General features: G+C 32.0%; 1 protein-coding gene across 4 annotated transcripts in view; it reads right to left on the bottom strand.

Annotated features, from left to right (window-relative positions):
* SI (sucrase-isomaltase) overlaps nt 214-24,943 on the bottom strand; it is a 111,335-nt gene continuing 86,605 nt past the window's right edge. For all 4 annotated transcript variants that reach the window (XM_047448735.1, XM_047448736.1, NM_001041.4 and 1 more), the window contains 11 exons: nt 19,856-19,989; nt 18,054-18,088; nt 17,851-17,967; nt 15,573-15,721; nt 13,629-13,713; nt 13,493-13,549; nt 12,669-12,793; nt 8,454-8,542; nt 4,318-4,367; nt 3,559-3,726; nt 214-746 (listed from right to left, as the gene is read on the bottom strand). In XM_047448735.1, coding sequence (XP_047304691.1) covers nt 678-746; nt 3,559-3,726; nt 4,318-4,367; nt 8,454-8,542; nt 12,669-12,793; nt 13,493-13,549; nt 13,629-13,713; nt 15,573-15,721; nt 17,851-17,967; nt 18,054-18,088; nt 19,856-19,989 — 1,078 coding nt within the window. In that variant the 3' untranslated portion in view covers nt 214-677. The remainder of the gene's footprint in view (nt 747-3,558; nt 3,727-4,317; nt 4,368-8,453; nt 8,543-12,668; nt 12,794-13,492; nt 13,550-13,628; nt 13,714-15,572; nt 15,722-17,850; nt 17,968-18,053; nt 18,089-19,855; nt 19,990-24,943) is intronic.

The raw sequence follows: 24,943 nt of genomic DNA on the forward strand, positions 1-24,943 counted from the left end.
TATGAGGATACAAAAAGATAATTGTCTGTAAGCCATAAAGACTGCCACCATCAGCAGTGGATCTGCTAATGTCTTGATATCAGGCATCCCAGCTTTCAGAACTGTAATAAATAAATGTTTGTTGTTTAAGCCACCCAGTCCATGATAAATTGTTATAGCAGTGCAAGCTAAGACAATTTCCATTAGGAAAATAAAGACAAAATGCACATTTTATACACTTACATTTTTTATTCTCTTTTTCTAATTAAATGCACATACTAAGAAGTAATTAAATCTTCAAATAATTGTTGTTACATATCTTAAATCTGCTAAACATTGAGAAAAATATAGTATATATAATTACATAAAAATTTTATTTAATTTAAAAATCACGTTTAAATTATATCTTAGCTATTTACATACATGTTTAGTAACTAGTTTACAATTGTAGCTGATACTTAACAAGGATAAATAGGGCTATTCAAATTTTGTTAAATATGCCTTAAAATTGAATCCAAGTCACATTACTATAATAAAATTAGCATTATCATTGATGTACGCTACAAAATAACTTTTCGATGTTATGAAAGCTATATTTTGTAGAGTACAAGAACCAAGTGAAGAGGGAAAATTGTAAGTGCTGTGAAACTTAAATCCTGGTGTTTTTTCCCATTGACAACTAAAATTGATGGTGATCTTCATGACCAGTTGATTTCTATTGGTTCTTCTAGAGTAACATTGTGTGTGGTCAGATCAATACGTAATATCTAAAAAAGTAAAATAATAATTAGTTGTTTAATCACAACCACATTTTTCTTATTTTCATGAATGCTATTTCAAAAAAGTTTTCTAATAAATAGTATATACCTTTATTTTCTTTTATATCTTGAGAAATTTTTACTCTCAGAAAGTTTGCAACCATTTCAGCAACAATTTCACCCAACCTATCCATTTTACCTAAGGTTAAAATAAATCTCAGAAAGGTGAAGTTGCTGTCAAAAGATACTGAAAAACCCAAAACTCTCAGCCAATTTTATTGATTTCTATGACTTTACTCTTTTCACATAATTTTGAAATATGGAGTTATTTATAACTGCACCGCATGAATCTCAATGCATCCCTTTGTCAAGTATTATCCAGTCATTTTCAGCCAAAGTTTAGATTTAAAAGTGTTATTTTAACTCAATCAAAAAAGATTTTATGATGCTTCATTTATTGCCAATGATTCAATTTTGCATGTGTTACTTTATTTCACTGGAGATAATCTAAAGTAGACTCTAGAGAGATTATTATCTCTATCATGGAGATTATTAAGTTGCTGTAGTCAAATGATCTTCTGTCATAGTTTTATGATATGACGATTTCAGGAGACTTTACCATTGCTCCTTTTTGTCCAATGAACTGATAAGATTTTCTGTGCTTTAGCTCAGAAAGTTTGGATTCAGTCATCAAATACGCAAGAGAAGGGGAGGTGAATCCTTTACTACCTACCACATACCAGGTCTTTTCATAAGGGCTTTATAAAATTTAATCTTCCTTAAAGCACAGCACATTTGGATTAATTTACCACATTTGATAAATTAATTTAAAAAGTAATAGTTAAATAATTGAGTATTCGTTAGACAGGTTTAAAACAGATCCATCTTGTAACAAAACTTAAACTATTTTTTTAACTTAAAGGTAGAAAGCAAAAATACACCACATAGCTTTTAATACTTTTTACATAAATCAGCTGGACATAATTGTTACTAGAAAAATGCTTTTGAAATTATATTGCTAGAGCAATTAAATAATCTCTTGCATAAATTAAAGGACAAGCAGGGTGGAGAAAGAAATTGACCATCCTCTCTTCCTTTCCTATGTATCTATGAAGGCTTGGAAAACAGTGATTACTCATAAATACTGAGTTTATTTAAATGCACTTAGAAGGAACTGCCCAGAGTTGTTGGTTAAAGTAAATGTATATTTCTTCATCACTGAGGTAATGAAACACTGTCAAATATTTGTTCTCAACACTTAAAATTCTTTGTGAATGTTTTTAAAGAGAATAGAAAAAAATGATTTTTAATGGTTTGTTTTTATGCTACATATTTGATCAAAACGACCTTGAAATAACACCCCAAAATATTAAAATATCTTATTTGGCATTGTTTATTTGCTTTATTTTTACCATAAAAGTTGTGAGCTTAATTTTCGCCATTGTAATTTAGTAAATAAAAGGTAAGATATTATCTAAGCCAAACCGTCTTTTCTTTATCTGATTGAACATTGGACCGTGCAAAAAAGTGATTTCTAATTGTGATTGATAACTATTGAGTAGTTGTTTTGGGGAATTAATTTCCTTCTTTGGGGACTTAATTTCTTTGTCACCCACATAAGACTACTGGACTAGATCAGGTATTCTGGAATTTTATAAATCAGTCAAATTATAAAAATAAAAATATGAGTGTAAGGCACTAAGATATTAACTTTTATTTTACCGAGGAAGGACATTAAATATATCAAAGTTGGGAAATTTTATTTTATATTTCCTATTCTTGATACAGTTTTAAGAAAAATAGCGAGTTGCAGTGCAAAAGCAGTAAGAAAAACATAGTTCCATATTAAAGGAAAACCCCACTTGTCAACAAAACAGCAGTAGCAGTAGGATGGGTGTTGAGTTTCAAAAAGATGGAACAGACTTTCAGGTGCTGTTTAACTCTGACATCCTCTGACACCTACAAGGACCTAGGACTGTGTCCAAATGCATATATATATATTTTTTTAGGTTCAAGTTAGTCGAACATCTGACAATTTTAGAATTTAAGTTCATCTAAAGTGACTGATTAAAGGCTCTTTGTTTTTATCCAAGTTTAAACGATTAAGGGTGGGTGCACACAAATTTACACAGTTTTAGTAGTGCATAAGTAGGCTTAAACTTAAAATGAACACCTAAAACAGTTAGCTGTTTTCTAGAACATGTGTTTGAAATTCACCTTTGCAAGCCATAGATTCACAGAATTTAGAACTGGAAGGAGCTTAAGAGATTGATCATTTACTTGCATTTTTTTCTATTCAATTGGATAGAATAATAGGCCTAAAATTTTTTGTTCAAAGTAAAGAGCTAAATACTGGCAGCAATGATGCTTTAACGCAAGAATCCTGATTCCTTGTGTATTATCTGTATCATATGTATCACACTCCTGTATTAATGGGTGCTGACAGTTTTATTAAGTTTGCAAGAATTTTCAAATACATTTTCAAGACATAGTCAATGTTTAAATGCAGATATCTTATTTTTAAAAAAGTATTTTCTGAGGCACTTTATCATATAGGGATAACAGTTATTTAAAGTTTTAAGTTAATTTTGCTGTGATTGTATCATAATAAGAATAAAATAGATGTCATTAGATTGATTTGTATGACAGTTTACTAAGGATAGTAATAAGGAAATAAATATGGAGGCCTAATGAAAAGGAATATATGAAGAATGTCATAATTGACTCATAATTATGTTTCTTACAGATGAGGGATATAAGAAGTCCATGTAGATGCTTTAAATACGTACGCTTTTGAAAAATATTTTCTTACATTACTTACCATGTTGGTAGTGTCTTCATTAAAAGGAAGCGAATTTTTATTTCCGTTATACGTTAGAGTAACTGCATTGACAGGAGTAGTTCCTTTCCCCCATACATGAAGGGATCCAAGCCTCGTTTCACTTTTATTTATGTAACCTCTCTTCAATATAGTGCTTGTTAAGGTGGTCTATAAATAAAGAAAAAGGAATAACATAAACACTTTATTTGCAAAAGCAATTAAAACTTTAAAAATATGTCGGTTAACCAAAAATGTATTTCGTAGTATAATAAATTGTTTATTTGTGCATTTGATATAAGGTATTTTACATAATAAACATGAATAAAACTTCAAATTTTCTTCCTTTTTTCCTATGTATCTATTTATTGAGACAGGGTCTCCCTCTGCCACCCAGGCTCAGAAAGTTTGGATTCAGTCACCAAATATGCAAGAGAAGGGGAGGTGAATCCATTACTGCCAGGCTGGAGTGCAATAGTGCAGTCATGGCTCACTGCCATCTCGAACTCCTAGATTCCAGTGACCCTCTAGCCTCAGCCTCCTATGCAGCTGGGACTACAGTTGCATGCCACCATAACTGGCTAATGTTTTTATAGAGATGGGGTCCCATTATGTTGCCCAGACAGGTCTTGAACCCCTGGCCTCAAGCAATCCTCCCATGTCAGCCTCCCAATGAACTAGGATTACAGGCATGAGCCACCCCACCCAGCTGTGAACTTCAAATATTCCTTAACAGAATTGCATATAAATAATCTTACATACCTGGTTTAAATTAAATTGTACAGATAAATATAGGTCTCTTTCATAGGTGTCTGTAGAGAGAGAAAAAAAATGTGATATATTGTTATTTCCAAAGAAGAACCATAGTAAATACCTGTATACTTTGCTTCTCTTTCCCAGTATAAAAAGTAGCAAATATTATCAAGATGTACCTATTTTTTCTCTAAGCCTATTTAACTAATTCAGATACAATCCAAGGAGCCTTGGAAATGAAGGATGAGTCACCAGGTAAGGTCCTAAGAGGACAAGCTAGGTGGTGTATGTGTGTGTAGGGGTAATGATAAAACAGTAACAGGTTTAAAATAATTTTCACACACAACAGTGGGAAGGTGGCAAGAAGTGCACAAGTAATGCAAGAATAAACAGAATTCAGTGATGATAGCAATCGACACTTACTTGTCACCTTAGTGACTGACAAAATAATATAAAGGAAAAAAGAACATGGTAGCAATACATTCTAGTGTCATTTGAAAAAACAAATTCAGTAGTTAGAGATTGTTGCAGGTCAACTAAAATTAAACTGGCAAAATGTAGGTTTATAGCCACCTCTTTAAGGTATAATCATTATTTTTTAGTTTTTATTTTTTTAAGACAAAGTCTGGCTCTATTGTCCCAGCTGAAGTGCAGTAACACAATCATGGCTCACTACAGCCTGGACCTCCTGGGCTCAAGCAATCCTCCCACCTCAGCCTCCTGAGTGGCTGGAACTACAGGCATGCACTACCATGCCTGGCTTTTTTATTTTTTTAATTTTGTAGAGGCAGGTTCTCCCTATGTTGCCCAGGTTTGTCTAGAACTCCTACACTCAAATGATCCTTCTGCCTTAGCCTCCCAAAGAACTGAGATTACAGTCATGAGCCACCACCATCAGTTTAAAGTATAATCTTGCCATATTTAAAACTCATTTTAATGATCATCCTACAGGTAAAACTTGTTTAGTGCTGACTATTTGCCAAATTCTAAATACTGTATCACTTTACTCTAAAAGATATTTTATTATTATTCCCACCGTATAGAAGAGTAAAGTGACTTTCAAAGCAGTTAAATAAATTGCCAAAAGTAAAAAAACAAAAAAGCTAATTACTGTCAATGTCTGGAATCAAACCCAGTCTTCCTTGACTTCTAAGATTGTGTTTTTATGTAAAAAAACAAATAAGCATACATAAGATAGAGCAAAGTAGAGTCAAATAAAAGAAGTATTGGGGTAACATTGAAAAAGCAGGATATTTTTATTCTCTTATCTACTTATACACATCAGGGCTGTATTCATTAACCCACTAAAATTAATTTGCTATTGATTTTACCTATACTAAAATGGATATTCTGCCTAAGACTTTTTTATGTATGCTAATATATGTATGGCTAATTTAATATGTATTACAAGACATATTAGTGTCAATATTCCTTAACCATTTTAGTTCTTATTTTCAAATATACAATTACAACTTAAGTTTTCATGAACAATCTTTTAAGTATAGAATTCTGAGTTAAAAAAAGCAAAAGTGACAGCTATTACGAAGATATGGGTAGCTTTGTTGTTTTTAATAAGAGGAAGAAAGATCTCACATATGATCTTGGTCAAGGACACAAATATAACTATTTCATTAAGATAAGTAGAAAAATTAACATTTTACTAAGCTATAACTTTATTAATCAAGAATGGTTAAAATTTACTTAATGTTAACAAGTTTTAGGAGAAGTTCATTTTGATTTACCTTTAATTATTTCAAGATAATTTGTTACCACATTATAATATATCACAAAATTTGAACATGTTTGTTTAAAAGAAAGACATCATTTCAGATTGGATGCCCATCAACTAGATTGTTGTGTTTGCTGTGAGAGAAAACCTCTTTGGAGATTCTGATCTAACAAATCCAGAGAATAAGCATTTGCTATATATGGTTTTCGCTGTTAACTCAGGAAATTTCAAGGGACTATTTAAAAATATTTATACTAAATTATACCAAATATACTGATATTGTGAAACATAACAAAATAAGTAGATCCAATTGGCAAAAAACAATTTTTTATACTTGCATGAGGAGATCATAGAGAAATATTTGGATTATGCTCAGGTACTTTCCAGTGATTACAAAAAGTCTGCCATGAAACTTGAATAGGGTAAAGTCCACACCAAATGTTGTCATCGATGCTGTAGTTGGATAGGAGGAGCTGGAGAAAATTCTAAGAGAAGCTTTGTCTGCCTAACTGATGAAATGAATTAACTTAATTTGTTAATTATGAGATTCAAAGATCCCAAGTTGCATACTTAAACTTTACACCCCTGGGAAATTGTAGGCAAATTTCCTGCTGGACACAAAGGGAAAGGCTGAAAACTTCATAGACCCTCAGTCATTGCGGTGATGAAGGTCAGAGCTCTAAAAGCAAAGGACTAACTTGTGTTGATATCTTCACTTTCTAAGTCACAAAATGTTAAAAAGAGGGATTTATTTTTCCCAAAAGTCTTGCTGTCTAGCATATAATTCTTATATCAACTTTATTACACTTATTTACTAATGGATTATTTCTTATGGTTGCAGAATATTAACTATGATTTACCTTTAAGATAAAAGATGCATGTCTTTGCTATTAATGAAAAAACTATTATCTTCGGATAAGTTATTTAAATTGCAGAGAACTGTCAACTTCACACAGATATCAATTTTTTTGATTAAAGTTTGTGTCAACAAAATGTTCAGAACGCTCATCTAGTAGTACTGACACTATTAAATAGCAGTCAGTAAACCTATCCTCTATCAGTGTTTACATACAGAATAAAAATCTCCTATGGGAGATTTCTGAGTTTCTCCTAAAATTAATGAAACTTGAATGAGTCCTATAATCTGCATTCTTAGCAAGCTGTCCCAGGTGTTTCTGATAACAACGGTTAGTGAATTTCACATGGCTAGGAGTTTAGAAGTTTAGTATGGTCTTGAGGAACAGTTATGAATGGAATAAGCCTAGATCTAAATTAAAATATATCTCCTCATGTAAAAAAATGCTAAATACTACCAAAAACAAGCAAACAAGCCAAAAGAGTAGATATAAAAACACAGAAATCAAATTTACTTGAGATTGGTTTCTGGACTACCTCCTTGTTGTAGAGGCACCACTTGTACATTTTGGGGGCTCAAAAACTGATTTCTCAGAATAAAGGTCCCAGAAGCAACACTGGAAGAAAGTTTCTCTCTGACCTTCTCCTGCCCTCCTGTCTCTTGCTCCTTACTCTCTAGTGATAGAAACTAGAATTCCTTTTCCCAAAGGCAAGTCACAGAAACTAGAATCCTTTTCCCCCAAAGCTAGCTATAAAGCCTAGAAATGTTACTCTCTTTTCCTGCTTTTCTGTGTAACAGCTGGCCATGAAGAAGTTAACAACCTCCTTCCAGAGGGGTCTTACCCCATACCTGAGAGGAAGAAATGCTACAATTAATAAGCCAACAAGAATGTGGACAGGCCTTACTAGATTTCCTCACTCAATCTGTTTCCATTAGCTTATACACTTTTTGTCCAATCACATTTCTACATGGCAGTTCCTGTTTCATTGAACCTAAGAATAAAGCCTGAGAGCATTCTCTGTATCTTTGGGCCTTTATTCTGAAGGTTCCTGTTTTACATAAAACTATGATTACATATGTTTGTTATGCTTTTCTCATGTTAACGTGTGCTTTGTTATAGAGGTGTTGGCTGTGACCCTTATGATAAATGAGGAAAAGTGTCACTCCTTTTTGTCACTATAGTATCAATATTTTGCACATATAATAATGTGGTTATTCAGCTAAGTTAACTTTACATATATGCCAAGTGTCTATTATGTGAATAGCACTGTGCTAGCTTCTGAAAGTACAAAGATAATAGATACATAATTCTGCCCACACAAATTTCTTACCTAGACACTTACCATAGGGATTGACTATATTTAGGATAAGAGAAGTCTTTAAATGTTTGCGACATTGTTTATCTCTTTAAGTTGATTCAGTGAATTTAGTAAAATCTTTTAGCCTTGAATAATATTAATAGCTTTGTACTCAGCTTCCAAAGAACAATAATAGATAACGTAAAAGTAATGTGATAGAATACGACATCAATTAAATTTATCTACTAAATCGAGCACTCACCTATACTCTCTCCATCATCCCAAAACAGAGAACCCTGTGCCATCTGATTATCATCTGCAGCAACAATGAGCTTCATGTGTTTTTGTCGACTATAAGAAAGAAATATATAATTTTACCCATGTTTGTAGAATAGCATATGTCTAGTTATGATATGACATCCACATAAGGATCTATAGGAACCCAAGCATTAAGGAGTGTGCAAACTGACTTAGACTAAGAAAATTAAAGCATTTCCATTTTTCTAAATTAGTTAACAGGAATGATATAAAACAATAAAATTCTTCATATTTAGGCCGGGTGCGGTGGCTCACGCCTGTAATCCCAGCACTTTGGGAGGCCAAGGCGGGTGGATCATGAGGTCAGGAGTTCGAGACCATCCTACCCAACATGGGGAAACTCCGTCTCTACTAAAGTACAAAAAATTAGCTGGGCGTGGTGGCAGATACCTGTAGTCCCAGCTACTTGGGAGGCTGAGGCAGGGCAATTGCTTGAACCCGGGAGGTGGAGGTTCCAGTGAGCCGAGATTGCACCACTGCACTCCAGCCTGGTGACAGAGCAAGACTCCATCAAAAAAAAAATTCTTCACATTTAATAGGAAATGTGATGCATGTCTTTTGATCTCAAGGTTTCATGTAATGTAACAAATCAGAAGTGGCCTAATTGAAAGTAATTAAAACCACATTAATTTTATTCATATATTTACTCATGCTTCTCTTGGGTAATCCTGTCATTAACCATTAAACATGAAACAATTTTAATAGCATTTTAAAATCTTTTCTGACTTAAGCCTTCCTCATATTTCCATACATAAATCATGGAGTTATCACTGGTTATAATTAATAAGAATGTATAAAGTAGCCTCCAAGTTCTAAGTTCTATCTCTGTAATAGAGAATACCTTTCAAGCATGTTCCTGCATAGGGCTACTTGTGAACTAAATACTTGCTTCCATGTTACATCTCCAGCAATCCTTGAGAAGCAACTTGATTTGGCAGCCTCATATTGTTTGAAATAATTTACCAGACCAATTGTTTTAGCTGTCTGCCTTTTCTAATCACAAATGTTGAAGAATGTACAGCCACGGAAGTCTCCTAAAATTTCCAGAATCTCTAGAGTTCAAATCTCCACAGTAATTAGATATTTTCCAGTGAAATATATTAACATACCTTACCATGAATATGTATATGAATTTCAGTTCACAGTCACTGGGGTTTAAATATAATTTAGAAACATCAAAAATATGGCTTAACCTGCAATTTCCCAACATATACTAAAACTTGTGATTAGAAAGAGTTTTACAACTTTCTATACTGTACAATGATCTGTCTTCTCTCTCATAAAAAAATAAGGATTATTCAAGGCACACCTTATGAATGGTCTCCTCCATGAAGCCCTCACTTTTCAGGTGCAATAATGTCTCTCCTCTTTAACTGATGTCAGGATAGAATATTAGTAGAAATGGACCTGGGTGGGTCCAGTAGATTAGAAGATTCTGTTCATGCCAACAGGGGCTGTCAGCATGTACATCACCAAGAGAGATGATATAGCATAAAAAGAGAAGAAAAACAGAGACAGGGTCCTCTAGAATTTGAATGTCAAAGCAAGGAATTTTGCAATGGAAATAAAGACTGTGACAGGAATAAGAGATTTACACCTATGTCAGTCTGAGAAGACAGAGCAGATCCATTGTCCCTGGTAAATTGGACATATTGCTGAAGGAGAGAAACAGAAATCCAGGTAGAGGTTCTCAGGCAAATAAGAGAAGGGCCTGGCCAGACAATCAGTTATAAAAATGGTGATAGACAGAAATCTGGGATAGCCTTCATCTTTATATGGGACAAGGTCATTAAATGATGAGCTAATGGGTGCAGCACACCAGGATGGCACATGTATACATATGTAACTAACCTGCACATTGTGCACATGTACCCTAAAACTTAAAGTATAATAATAATAAATAAATAAATAAATACATAATTAAAAAAAAAAGAAACAGGTCTGGAGTTCCAGACCAGCCTGGCCAACATGATGAAACTCCGTCTCTACTAAAAATACAAAAATTAGCTAGGCGTCTGGCAGGCACCTGTAATCCCAGATACTTGGGAGGCTGTGGCAGGGGAATCGCTGGAACCCAGGAGGTGGAGGTTGCAGTGAGCCAAGGCAGTGCACTCCAGCCTGAGCAACAGAGCAAGACTCTGTCAAAAAAAAGAGAGAAAGAAGAAAGAAAGAAAGAAAGGAAGAAAGAAAGAAAGGAAGAAAGAAAGAAAGAAAGAAAGAAAGAAAGAAAGAAAGAAAGAAAGGAAAGAAAGAAGAGAGGAGAGGAGAGGAGAAGAGAGGAGAAGAGAAGAGAAGAAATGAGAAGAGAAAGAAGAGAAGAGAAACAGGTCTGGTTCCTCTTGGACAGCAGGACACTTAGTAGTTTGATGGAGTAGTGATACTGCCAGTGAATGTCTACATTTTCATGTACTATAATGAGTCAGGAAATATATCACAAGACAGATGAAGAGAGGCAGAGAAAGGGAAACAGCAAATTAATGGAAAGGAAAGAGACACCTCCAAGCAATACTGACTTAAAGCTTATAAAAAGCTTCATCAAATGGAATATTATTCAGTGCTAAAAAGAAATGAGATACAACCCAGGTATCTCATGGAGGAATCTTAAATGCATATAACTAAGTAAAAAAAGTCAAATTGAATGTTACATACTGTATGATTCCAACTATATGACATTCTGGAAAATACAATATTACAGAGATAGTAAAATATCAGTGGTTGCCACGGGTTGAAAGAGCAATGAATAGGTGGCACACAAAGGATGTTTAGGTCAGTAAAACAATTCTAAAGGACACCAGTGGTGGATGCGGGTCATCATACATTTGTTTAGACCCAGAGAATTTACAACATCAACAGTGAACCCTAATGTAAACTGTGGTCTTTGGGTGATAAGTGTTAGTGTTGGTTCAATGATTGTAACAAATGTGCTACTTTTACGGGGGGTGTTGAAAATGAGAGAGGCTATGCATGTGTGGGCGAGCAGGGGGTAAATGGGAAATCTCTGGACCTTCTCAATTTTGCTGTATAAAACTGCTCTAAAAAATAAGTCTTTGAAAAACAGGTTAATAAATATTTCATGTTTTCGTAAAGTGATCTTCATAATACTAGATCTTCCACATGTCAGAAACAGAAAAGTAGGGTAAAAATCTTGTTGAGGCAGCCATTCAAAATATAAGACATTAAGTTGTCATTACTTTCTGCATATTATAGACAGAGATCATAAAGGTTTCATTTATATTTTTATCTGGGAAGCTTTCTTACTTTAAGAGGGAATATCCTGTTGGAAGACAGTTTTCCATGGGTCTCTTGCATTTTTATATGTCATAGGCAGAGGCATTGACAGCCTGTCTTCTGAGCTGTATTTTCAGGGATGTTTTAAAAATGAATTGAGTTCATATCCTTTGTAGGGACATAGATGAAGCTGGAAACCATCATTCTCAGCAAACTGTCGCAAGGACAAAAAACCAAACACCGCATGTTCTCAGTCATAGGTGGGAATTGAACAATGAGAACACATGGACACAGGAAGGGGAACATCACACACCGGGGCCTGTTGTGTGGTAGGGGGATGGGGGAGGGATAGCATTAGGAGATATACCTAATGTTAAAAAGACAAGTTAATGGGTGCAGCACACCAACATGGCACATGTATACATATGTAACTAACCTGCACGTTGTGCACATGTACCCTAAAACTTAAAGTATAGTAAAAAAAAAAATGAATAGCATTGGACGGCAGGGTTTCTTTTTAAAAATTCTTAATATTTCTTTTGACTGTCCAATATAAAAAAGATAATATTTTTTTTGAAGCAAATAATGGATAGATTTGTTTGTAGTCTTATTAAAGACAGGGTTTTCCTAAACCTGGGGTTCCTTATTTGTGACACAGACCTCCTACATGTGCAACATCTGCCTGGGTCGCTCCATGTCATCCCCATGGGACTTGGTGGAAAAGAAAACCTGATGCTAAGATAAAGTTCCTGTTTCTTGCTATGCTATAAACCACAAACACTTTTGTCTCTGACCTGGCATTCATGTTACTGAGGCAGGCTAATGTACTAGCTTGGCGATGGGTTAAAATTTCAAACCCTTTCTATTTCTTAACAATGCTAGCATGATGTATCTCAAAATTTAACCTGAGCTTTGTAAACAGTTCACTTACCTGTAAAATGTGTTTTGAGCTGGCTCTTGACATGGTAGGATGTGACCACCACGGACATGTAGGTTTATTGTGTCATAAGAAGCATTAAATGTTTGAAATTGTCCTCTGACGCCAATATCTTTGCCCTGGAAATGAAAGGGATGGAAAGAACAGGTGGAGCAAGAAATGGAATCATCAGCAACACTGGTAGTTGAGGATATACATTTTAAAAAATCAAATGATACACTTTTAGATTAAAAAATTCACATTTATTCAGAAAATCTTAATTTGTTTCACTATAGTAACCATTTTACTATATATATATCTCATAACATGATGTTGTATACCTTAAATATACATGGTGAAATTTACTTTTTAAAAAAGCATATCTTTAGAATCTAGTTAAATATAAGTCTTTATGATAGCTTTGAAAATCATTTATAGCGTTGTTTTTGTGGAGTTCACATGCCTAAAGTGTGTGGATTTTTGAAAAGTCACAAAAGCTCTGCTTGACTTGCCATGTACATTATTCTTAGAAAGACTGCACTACCTTTAATGATCATTTTATATATCCAATAAAAGACAATTATCTTTTTGTATGTAATGTGTAGTTACCATGTTTATTTGCTAAAATAAATCAATGACTACATAACAAACTGTAGCAGAATAAATTAACTCTCTTTCACTGTGGATTAATTCAATTCAGCTATAATTTACCGGAAATATGTTACTTTCCACTCTTTTTAAGTGGAAAGTAAATCCAACATACCGTTAATGAAAAGGCTAGGGCCAAACAATTACCCGTTTCTGTTTAGTTAATTCCCCAGAATTCCTTAAATACTTACTGTATGGTAGTCAAACCACCGAGCATTGGGGACGTAGGCATTTACAGTTTGAACATACTGGAATGTAAATAAATAGCCATTAGTTGTATATAAACCAAAGAAAATTGTGTAAACAAAAATATGTGGTAGGACTTACAGGTTCCAGTACTGGGGTAACCATAAATGCTGGACCCCATAAGAACTGCTTGAATATATCCCAGGTTGGTTTTTCATCAAAGAACCTCGACAAAATTATCACAAATAATTAAATTAAAACAAATAACTTTCTTCTGAATACCATAAAATCATTATTCAAATTACATTTTGTAGTATGGACTTTTGTGGATTAAAATAAAAACAAAACTGTAAAAAAATTAAAAAATATATCAGTTGGAATGTAATAGTACAATGCTCAGCAGTATAATACTTTATGAGTAAATCTAGACTATGACTAAATTTCCGGAGAAAATAGAGAATTCTGATGGACATGTAACATCAACTAAATGAGAAATTACTTTGGAAGAGAACTAATAGAGGTACAAATATTAACTTTGCCTAGTATATGATCAACAAATTAAAAAACATATTAAAAACACTGGAAGAAAATTGTGAGACATACTGTAAGAATTTTAATTCATTAATTTTAAAAAGAGTTTGCTTATCTTACTTAATAAACTCTCTAAATAGTAGATTTACATGTTCCTAAAGGCTCTGTAACATGTTAATGGATTTCTGAATTTGAGATGCAAATGGCTAGGAAAAACAAAGGTTTTTTTTTTGTTTGTTTTGTTTTGTTTTTTAATGGCTTAAGAGCCACTATTAAATGTTCACATTTCTTCTCCAATTGAAATGAAAAAGAAAAGCTGTTTCTTAAAATTTGTTTGTTCTTTTGTTGTGGTTTTGTTTTGCCTTATTAAAAGCTGAGATTAATGCTGAATTGGAAAGATGGGCTTACACCTCCATAAACTCATGAAAGTAGAAACCGAGGTAATCTCAATAGAACAACAGTCTGTATAGTTAATAATAATATTTCTGACTAGTGACTCAGCCCAGAGGTGATACTCCATTATCCTGGGAAGCAAATAAGAATAACAAAAAGGGGTAAAGTCTGTAAATAAAAAGGAGATCAATAAAATGTTATCAGAAATAAAGAAGGGATTATGGTAGATGATAAATTAATAAAGCAACCAGAACATAATTTGAATCCAGAAAGAATCTTTTGTTGTTGTTTTAGGAAAACTGGATCGCTTATCCTATCATCAAAAGAGAAGGCATACCAATTCACTTCTTATTTTGGTAAATTTACTTTGGGTATTGTTTTAATTTGGGTAAATATTTGCCTTTTTTAAATGGGCTTATCAATAGTGAAATCTAACAAATAATCTCATTCAATTACTCTGGTAATATAGGGTGCTCAAAAAGCTAAATATACTGTGATTATTCGGGGTTTTTTTGTTTTTATGTTTGACTGCATGCTTTGCTTTTTGTAATATCTACAATAAGAATTTGATTGTATTCAACTTAAAAATAAAATGGATGAAAATTTTTGCAAATATGCTCCATGAAATAGAATTTTTAAGATTTGGTCATATAAAAGTTTGAGCTTTAAGAGGTGAATCCAAAACAAATTTATAAGGATAATGTTGAAACTGTTCCTGTGTATCTCATTGGGATACATCAAGGAAAAGGTGGAATGGTCTCCAGTAAGACATCTGTATATAGTAGATTTACGTAACTGCAGTAAACCGTGATTAATTAAATCATGAGGGGCATTACTTATCTCCCTGGAAATGTTGAGAATAGTCAATGTAAGCACATATACAAAGCATGTAGAACAATACCTTGTATACAGTAATTATTCTGAAATAGAATCATTACTTTTTAATAACTAATTAATGTGGTTCATTCTTTAATGGCTTATGCTAGTCTATTTATTAATGGACATATTTGTGTAAATGCTTTATTAATAAAAAATGTGTGCTAATATAACAATGGAAAAACTGCCAATCTAAAATATTTTATATTGCACTATAAGAGATCATTGGGTAAATTAAGTGAAAAGTATCTCTCTGTGATAAGAGAAAACAAACTTTGTACTTACTCATGCAAAAGGGGTCGGATAACAGTGCCACCATTAGCATGAATTTCATGCATTTGTGTGTAAAAATAGGGCAATAAGGTGTATCTAATATTTAGAATATTCCTTGACATTTCAGCAAAAGTTTCATTCCAGGAAGCGGGATCTTGTCTCTGAAACAAAGCAAAATAACATAGTTATAAGCTTTGGTCCTTGTTTAAGTCATAATATTCATATTCATATTTGAAGAACTAAAAAGTAAGACATGATATTAATTGATTGTCATGTGCTATGTACTTTCTTCCCAAAATCTTACACAATAATATTTCTATCACATGATAAAGAGAAAAGGTACACAACATTTTAATAAGAGAAATTCAAATTAAATCCATGGCTTGATTTAGTTTAAGTGAACATACCCAAAGAAAAGTTCACATTTTAATGGATGACAAATATGTTGTCAATTAGGTGATAGTCAGTGTTAGAGTGATCAGTGTAGGAGATAAATGAAATGATAGGCTATCCAAAGTCGATTGAAATAAACATAGACAAGCAGAGCAAATGATGGTGACCATGCACATTGTGGGTTCTCAGGAGAAATGAACAGATTATGGTACTAAAGAATACTAAAGAATACATAGTACAGATAGAAGGGAAGGCATAAAGATGAATGAAAGGAAATAATGTGCCTGAGTATGCTCTGGAATGCACACTCCAGCTCAAAAGACTAAAATTTTTAGTCTAAAGTTTAGAGTGGAAGATTAAAAGTCTACAAAAAAAATTCTTGCACATATTAGTTAAAAAATAATAGGCAAGAAAAGTTATTACTATTTTGTATTTTGATCTGCACCAGGGGAATAAGCAAGGCCATCACAAAGCTCGAGGTAACATTTAAATGTTTTTCGTTGACATCAGCATGACTGGGGCCCTTTATAGTTGTGTCATATCGATGATGATTCCAATTTTTCTGTATTTTAAGAGTAAGAAAGTTTGAATGAAAATTTCATGTCATAGCTGTTATATGCAGTATTAGAATACAGAAAATCTTGAAAGTAAAAATGGTCCAAGAACTGTTAAGCTGTATGTAATCCTATTGCTGGTATTTCCAAAGTTAAATAAGAAGAAAAAAGGCAAAGATCATATCTGTTGCTTATTGACCTCATTAATATGATTTTAGTTTTAACATGTTGATACACAAGCATCTAATTCTAAACTATACAATTCGAGTAATACATTTCAATAGTTCATTTGTACCAACTCATATTTAAACTTAAGTAGAGTTTTCTATCCTCTAGATTTTTATTTAGAAATACTTCCTCAGTCTTTCCCTCCTTCTGCATTTGAATTTTCCTTAAAAACACCAACCACATTACAATCATTGGGTATTTTACTTTGTTGCTCCCATGTGGAATTCTCCATACGTTTATATTGGTTACTGTTCCCCACACCCATCTCAGCTCTAGTATTCCTTCATTTAATACCTTTCTGAGCACTTTTCCTAAAGCAGAATCTCTATAAAACTCCATCACTTTAGTTTAATCTATTTTCCCTTATAGACATTTATTTGTATCTGACCTATTACATATAAAATGGTCTATTATTTATATCCCTTTTTAGAATATATAAATCATTTGAGCAAGGACTTCGTAAATATGAAATAGTATATTCTCAATAATGAATCTCTCCCCAAGCTTTCATTGATTCATGCTCTACTTTCCCAATATTACAGCTTTCTAAATTGCATTATTGACAGCAAATTTTCCTGTTGAGATATTACTGTTTCATCAAGTTATGTCTCTATTGTCCAGCTTTCAAATTCTTTCAAACGTGGTTCCGTTCTGCCTACAATCCTTGTATTTCAGCATTTTCTAAAATAAATCCTACTCTCTATTTCTACCCAAGTTTCCAGTGCGGGGACCATGTAGATTTCACAGCACATCACGAGCTCTGCCATTTACTTACTATAGGCAGAGCACATCTTTTAAAGGCCAGCTCTGTCTTTAACCTGTCCATCATGCGCATTTTGCTAATTTATCATTTTTCTGCATTTCTTCACTGAAAGTCAGCATCATGAAATTTAGTGCTTATTTAGATATTGGCTCTAACTGTTCCTACTCTTCCATAATTTTTAGTAATGTCTCCCCAGATACTCAAAAAAAGTTCCTCCAGACAATTTCCTCACTACTCCAAAATTATATATAACATCAATAAATATACCAGCTAACCAAGCCATGTACACTAAAGTATAATGAAGCATAGCCCAAGTAAGAAAATACTGAAAGTAAATGTAGTAATTACATACTCTAGTATTTGCAATGTTGTGATTCCTTGAGTATGGATAAAATGCTCCAAGTTGCATCCAGCGGGTACAGAGATGATATTCTGAGTTGTTGAAAAAACCACAGATGTCTGCTCCAGTCTAAAATATATTGTTATATTTAGTTAAATTTGAATAGTTTATGAATGTTTATAATTTATGAAGATAAAAGGAATAAAACTACTTACATATGACATTCCAAACAGACTAAATTCCATCATACCTGAAAAAGTTAGAAAAAATATCTTAGAAAGTTATTATTTCATATATTTTAATATTGTTTTTTATTTCTATTTATGATGATGTTCTGTTTTTAATATCAACCTCCAAACCTGAAACATTTTTCAGATTATTAATATAATTATCTCATAATGCTTCTCATAATGCTCACACATTTTGACTTTGTAGCATTTATGATATTTACAAAAATAAGATACTATAAGCTTCCTTGACACTTGCAAGGTGACATATTCAGACAACAAATACATTATAAACACATTATAGTGTGAGAAGAAAGTGGTGTCCACAGTTTCATTTTTGAAAATAAATATGCTATTTCTGCAGTTACTTAACTATAGGTCTGATTGAACTATAGGTTCAACTGGTTTCAGTCTATCATTTGAAAAAAACTGAACCATTCTTATTAAACAAATCCTTTAAGGAGTAATCAATTCTATAAAATACAATGAATATGATTTCTGAGCTCTTATTTTAAAGGAATATTTCTAAGAATTAATTGTTTTCCTTGAATTTATTTATCAATGGTGAACAAATTTTAAGACTAAATATAGAGCACAAAAGTATCTATTTCCCTATTAAAATGGTAATGTCTTATTTAGCACTTATTCTACTATTGTCACAAATTTCTTTCCAAATTTGGTTCGAAATGTTTCTTTTTTTTTTTTAGCATCTATCAGTGATTTATATTCCCTAGAATCTAGAATCTTTTAAATTTCAGTTTCAGAAGTACATTTGCAGGTGTATTATTTAGGTAACTTGCTTGTCACAGGGGTTTTGTGTACAGATTATTTTGTCACCCAGATAATAAGCATAGTACTTGACAGGCTGTTACTCAATCCTCACCCTCCTCCCACGCCACAACTTCATATAGGCCCTGGTGTCTGTTGTTCCCTTCTTTGTGTCCATGTGTACACAGTGTTTAGCTCCCAGTTATAAGTTAGAATATGTGGTATTTTGTTTTCTGTTCCTCTGTTAGTTTGCTTAAGATAATGGCCTCCAGCTCCATCCATGTCCCTTGAAAGGTCATGATCTCATTTTTTATGGCTGTATATATTCCATGGTGTATATGTACCACATTTTCTTTATTCAGTCTACCATTCATGGGCATTTAGGCTGATTCCATGTCTTTGGTGAATAGCGAACTGGCGAATTCCATGTCTTTGTCGAAGAGTGTCTTTTGTGAATAGTGTTGTAATGAACCTTCTTGTGCATGTCTTTATGGTAGGATCATTTCTATTCCTCTGGGTATATAACCACTAATGGGATTTTGGGGTTGAATGGTCATTCTGTTTTTAGCTGTTTGAGGAATCATCATACTGCTTTTCACAATAGTTTAATTAATTTACACTACTACCAACAGTATATATGTCAACTTTTCTCAACAATCTTGAAAGCATCTGTTATTTTTTGACTTTTTAATAATAGCTATGAAATCTAGAATTTCTATTCATTTCTCTCTATTAGCTCTAGACCTTATCTTTGCCAGCTACTGCCCTTTTCAGTAAGGAAACTCAGGCCAATAACAATGACACCATTTCCTCAAAATAAACTAATTGAAGATCATTAGTTTCTACACAGCACCCTCAATCCAGCTTCCTGGCCCACTGTCTTTTTCTGATGCTATATGACATAAAGTACGATGTGAAGAACAAAATTCTGAGGACTTATAAATGTTATGACCTAGCACCAGCAAAAGTGAGTATCTAATAGAAAACACAAAATAATAATAAAGATGGTGACTTTCACTTACCAATGATTGATTTGTCCATGTTGTCCCATCGTGCATAGTTGTCTCCAAGCCAGTGTCCTCCCCATCGTCCACTAGTAGGATACGTGGAACGAGAAATTACAATCCCTCTTTTTCCAGTTGTCTTCTGCAATGCACTAATATAGTAGAGAAGTATTTTTGAGTTTTTACATGAGATATTTTCTCCAAATATATCTACTTACGACTACTTTGTAAAAAAAAATAGTGATTTGTGGTGCTTATATTGTCATTTATTACAACTGGCTCTTGATAAGTTTGTCTTCTCTCATTAAATTATAAAATCCTCAAAACATAAAGGACGTCTTTTTCCCTTCCAACATTTACCAGAGTGACATGCAGATATTAAGAGGCCTTTATATATTCCTTCAATGAATACAAGTTAAATCAACTATTAATTGAATGAAATCAACAAATTCATCACATTGAGCTTTTTATTTTACTTTAATGTATTTTTAATAAAGGCTTATGCTCTAACTATTCATTGCCCCAACGCCTCTCAACTGTAACATATCAACACTTAATGTACATATTACTGTGCAGACAATGCCTACTATCATACTCTTTGCTTTAAAGGTTTAATTTGAAGAGAGCAAAGTATTCTCGGGTCTTAAAACTAAAAAGAATTGCTCCATTTCAAGTGTAGAATCTATTGGGAGTAAGTTCTTCTCAACAGAATGGGTTGTGTAAATGAAATCATATGATTTATTTCCCTTCTCAGTCTTTGGAGAATGAATTTAATGACATGCATGTTAAAATATGTTCTAGTTTTAGAAAAAAAATAAGTATTTTTATATCATCTTCATCTGTTTTCTTCTATCTCCCTTTCTTTTCCCTCTGCCTTTCTCTCTGACTGAACACAGATTATATTATAAGAGTATCAATAAAGTTTTACTCTAATATTAGTTGGAAATAAAAATTTTATTTTTATATTACTCAAATAATTTGAATATGAATAAGAGCTACAGAACTATCTTAGAAGAAGATACCACAAATACATAATTAGGCAGACTTTACTGGACACTAACACATTATCAAAAGTATTGAGTCATTTCCTTGTTACAGCAGGATCCCAGTGTTTGTATGTATATAAAGCTCCTTCCATGACACCTTGAGATTCCTAAAATCAAGTGCTATACTTTAATCTTCCTTGCATCCCTTATATCTAATGCAATGCTTGGCATGTAATAGTAGCTCAAGAAAGTTCGGAATTAACAAATGTCTCAAGTCAAAAGTGCAAGCAACTAAAAATGTGTTAAACAGACATAACATATTGAACCATCACTTGCTAATAAAGGCAATATTGTGTTAGTTAACTTAAAATGTTCTACTTCTAAATTGTCACTCTTTTAAAAAACCAATAAAAGAAAATGATCTTCACTGCTTTATTTTTTCATAACAAATATAAAATGGCCATTTAGGAATATTAATCTTTTAAATATACATTACATATATTTTTTTGAAATTTAATAAGAAATAAATATATAAATATGAAGAGTAATAATTGGTGATAATTCTATAAATCTATATGAAAATGTATTTTTGGAGTTCAGTTCATTTGCAAACAAAATTAGTTTTGTTTAATATAAAAATTATTTACAAGGACAGTGTTGTCACAAATTCTTCACGTGTTCACATGAAAGAAAATTATGTTTCTGGAGGATTTCTTTTTTTTCTCTATTATATATCTTACACTTGAAAAACTTCTTTACTGATACTTTAAATTAATAGCTGAATATATGCTTATCAGGTTGATAAGGATTCTACATAAAGTAGTTTCACACAATGGGCACAAAGTTACAGTTAGATAGGAAGAATAAATTTAGCAAGATGACCATAGTTAATATATTGTATATTTCAGAATAGCTAAAAGAAAGAATTTTAAATGTTCTCACTACAAATAAATGATAAATATCTGAGAAGATAAATAAGCTAATTAGCCTTATTTGATCATTTCACACTGTATAATGTATGAAAACATCACAATGTACTCCATATTTACTATTGTTAATTGTAAATTAAAATAAAACTATAAAATAAATGAGGTATTTTCATAATAATTTTCTCTTAAGGGAATTCTAAACTCTTATATAAGAGGAATCTCCTCTGTAAACCCTCACACAGAATATGTATTTGACGCCACTAAAGATATAAAGTTCAAACACGGTAAATATATTCTAATTATTTCCAACACTGTTTCAATTTTACAAATTGTTCAGTCACAATTAACTTAGTTTAAGTTATTCTTGAGAAACAGCTTTAAGCCAGAAGAGTTTGTTCTTTGTTACCACTTGACATTGGAGAGTTCAGCTTATAAGAAAGAGATATTTTTGTTGTGTGTTTATTATTGCCTACAGGAGCATTTTCTTGAAATATATTTTAAAAATTAGAATATATCTTCAATTATTATAAAAAAGTTTTTTATAGAAGTAAAACCAGAAACTCTACATATATATTACAAAAATGAAATATGTGAAGAGAATATTAAATTTAAAAATTTAAAACATATTTTTAATCTTCCAATAATTAATATCTTTATTTTAGTCATAGTTTCTAAAAGAAAATGTTAAATTAATTAATGTGACTATTATCTTCAATTACTGATGAAATCAATTTATAAACATTTTCCAAACACTTCTATCTCATGACTGGACGGTGTTCTCATGATTGGATGGTGTTAAATTATTTTAGAATACAGACTGCTGTATAGTAGAGAAAAGAAAGTTATTACAGAATTGTTATCCTCATTTTCATGAAAACAACTCTTTGAAAACTCAAAGATATTTTATTGAATTATTTTTGAAGGCAATATATTTAGTATTTGTTAGAAATATAAATTTTCCCAACTCACATTTCAAATAGTCACCATTAGATCAGAAAATGTAATATCTGTTTTAATTTTGAAATTGGATAAGTATTTTGTAGGCTAAAATATTTTAATTATGTTTTAGTGTATAACAAATTAATGAAATTTGAAATTTCCTTTAGCAAGAAGACAATGTGAAACACTATATCATGGAAAGAGTTTTATAGATTCATATCTCAAATTTTATATTTTGATATACCAATTGTATCAATGTTCTATTCATCTATATCATTCAGAATCTAATGTCTGAAAGACATGCATTTACTATCCGGTCTTGAGACGAACAGCTGATTAATAGAAAGTTACAGCTATAACTAAAGTAACTTCTAAATTAGTGAATGAGGTGAGGTATACTGTGTTTGTTTTTTCATAGACTAGTTTTTGTTTATTAAAAAAAATATACAAGAGACCACTTCCTATAGTTTACAATGCCCCCACTTCAAAAAGGCACTCTTATTTTTCCAGAAAGTTACATTAAATATAATTTTCCAAGTTGCAAATTATCCCAGTTTATAAGAATATCTGCAAAAATAATTTATAAATATTGACTTTTTCCATTCCATTTTATGATTACAAAACTCTTGGGCACTTATTTAAAAATTGTATATTAAAACACAACCTAAGCATTCAGAGGGAGTCAAAGATGTTTAATTTTCTAAGTCCTCTCTAATGAATAGTAGGTACTAATCCCTAACATCTTTAAAGCTTTTGGTAAAAATGAAAATAATATATGTGTAGTTACATAATCCTTGAATATTTGTCCGAAATTTGAACCCATAATTTGAAGTAGATTTTTGAATGTATTTCTTTCTACATTTGAAGAATAGGCTTTATTTCAATACAACATTGAATTTCAAATTACAAGAGATGAGAGCAATTGAAGACTCAAAACTTTTTGTGCAGGATTTCTATATGAAGCTTTTTTTATTTGCCATTAGTGTCCATGATTCTTTGTGTAAAACTATCTGCAATTTCTCAAGCTGATTAAATCCCATTTCTGAATCCATGCATGCTATTCTTTCGTTGCTTCTTGTTTGTTTCATGTTAAGTGAAAGAACACAGTAGCAAGAAATAGCTAAATGTCAAATATGTGGCAGTTTGTAAGACAGAAAATAAGTCACTAAAAAACAAAATGCTATGGTCTGTATAACTTGAGAAAAAAACGTGTGTTTATAATTTGTTCAGTTTTCCTCAATGATAAACAGAAAGACTTTACTCTTCATAATTTGCTTAAATGTAACATGTACCTTATTTATAGTGTTTTTTTACATTTGTCAAGGTCTTTATACATGTAATTAATTATTTAATCTCTAAAATTTTCCGAGTTCAGCAGTTTTTTGTAACTGAAAAAATTAAAATATTAAGAAAGTATCTGAAACATATGAAAAATATAAGACTGTATAAAATAGGCTACTTAATACTTAATCCAATTAATCTACTCAATTTAAGTAATGTGATTGAAACTTGCACTGAAAAGTTTTATGAACGAGAGCAAAATTAGCACTAATAAGTATATGTATATTGATTTCATTTTCAAGGATATTCCATGGAAGATTGTGCTGATTTCCTCCTCATAATTTTGCTTAAAAGTGGAAATGGACTTTACATACGCTTAAATATCTCTGCATATGGACTATTTGGAAATTTACCTGTATCTACCTTGAACTTATCAAAACAACTTTGATACCTGTGATTATAACAGGATAATGATGAATTTATTTAAATTTACTAAGCATCCACAATGTGTCAAGAATCATGTTTGACTCTGTAATGTGCTTCAGAAGTATACTTATTTCCTGTCTTCTGTGGAGAGGAATTTTTTTTTCAATTTTTGTTAAGCTACATACTTTCAACTCAAAGCACATAATTTTTGTCAATAAGATCATCACTCAATTTTCAATATTTTTGTTCTTTTTAATGTCTACAGTTTTAGTTAAAGTAAATTTAGCTGTGGATAATTATGCCCCAATATTGTGTTCCAGCAGGGTTAATCAAAAGTAACATTTGCCCCAGTGAAAAGGCATTGTTCAATGCCAGTTTATTCACTCTTAAAATAACTTAGTGTTTTATTTTTGGATTTGGTGAACAAGTGAGTTTTTGGTCATACATTCATGTATTCTGAGTTGATTAAGAGTTAATTGATAGAAATAAGATAAGTAGGTTTTACTAAGCGAGAAATTTTATCCATACTCTTTACTTCAAAATGC

The sequence above is a fragment of the Homo sapiens genome, chromosome 3 (assembly GCF_000001405.40).
Source record: "Homo sapiens chromosome 3, GRCh38.p14 Primary Assembly".
Taxonomy (NCBI): Eukaryota; Metazoa; Chordata; class Mammalia; order Primates; family Hominidae; genus Homo; species Homo sapiens.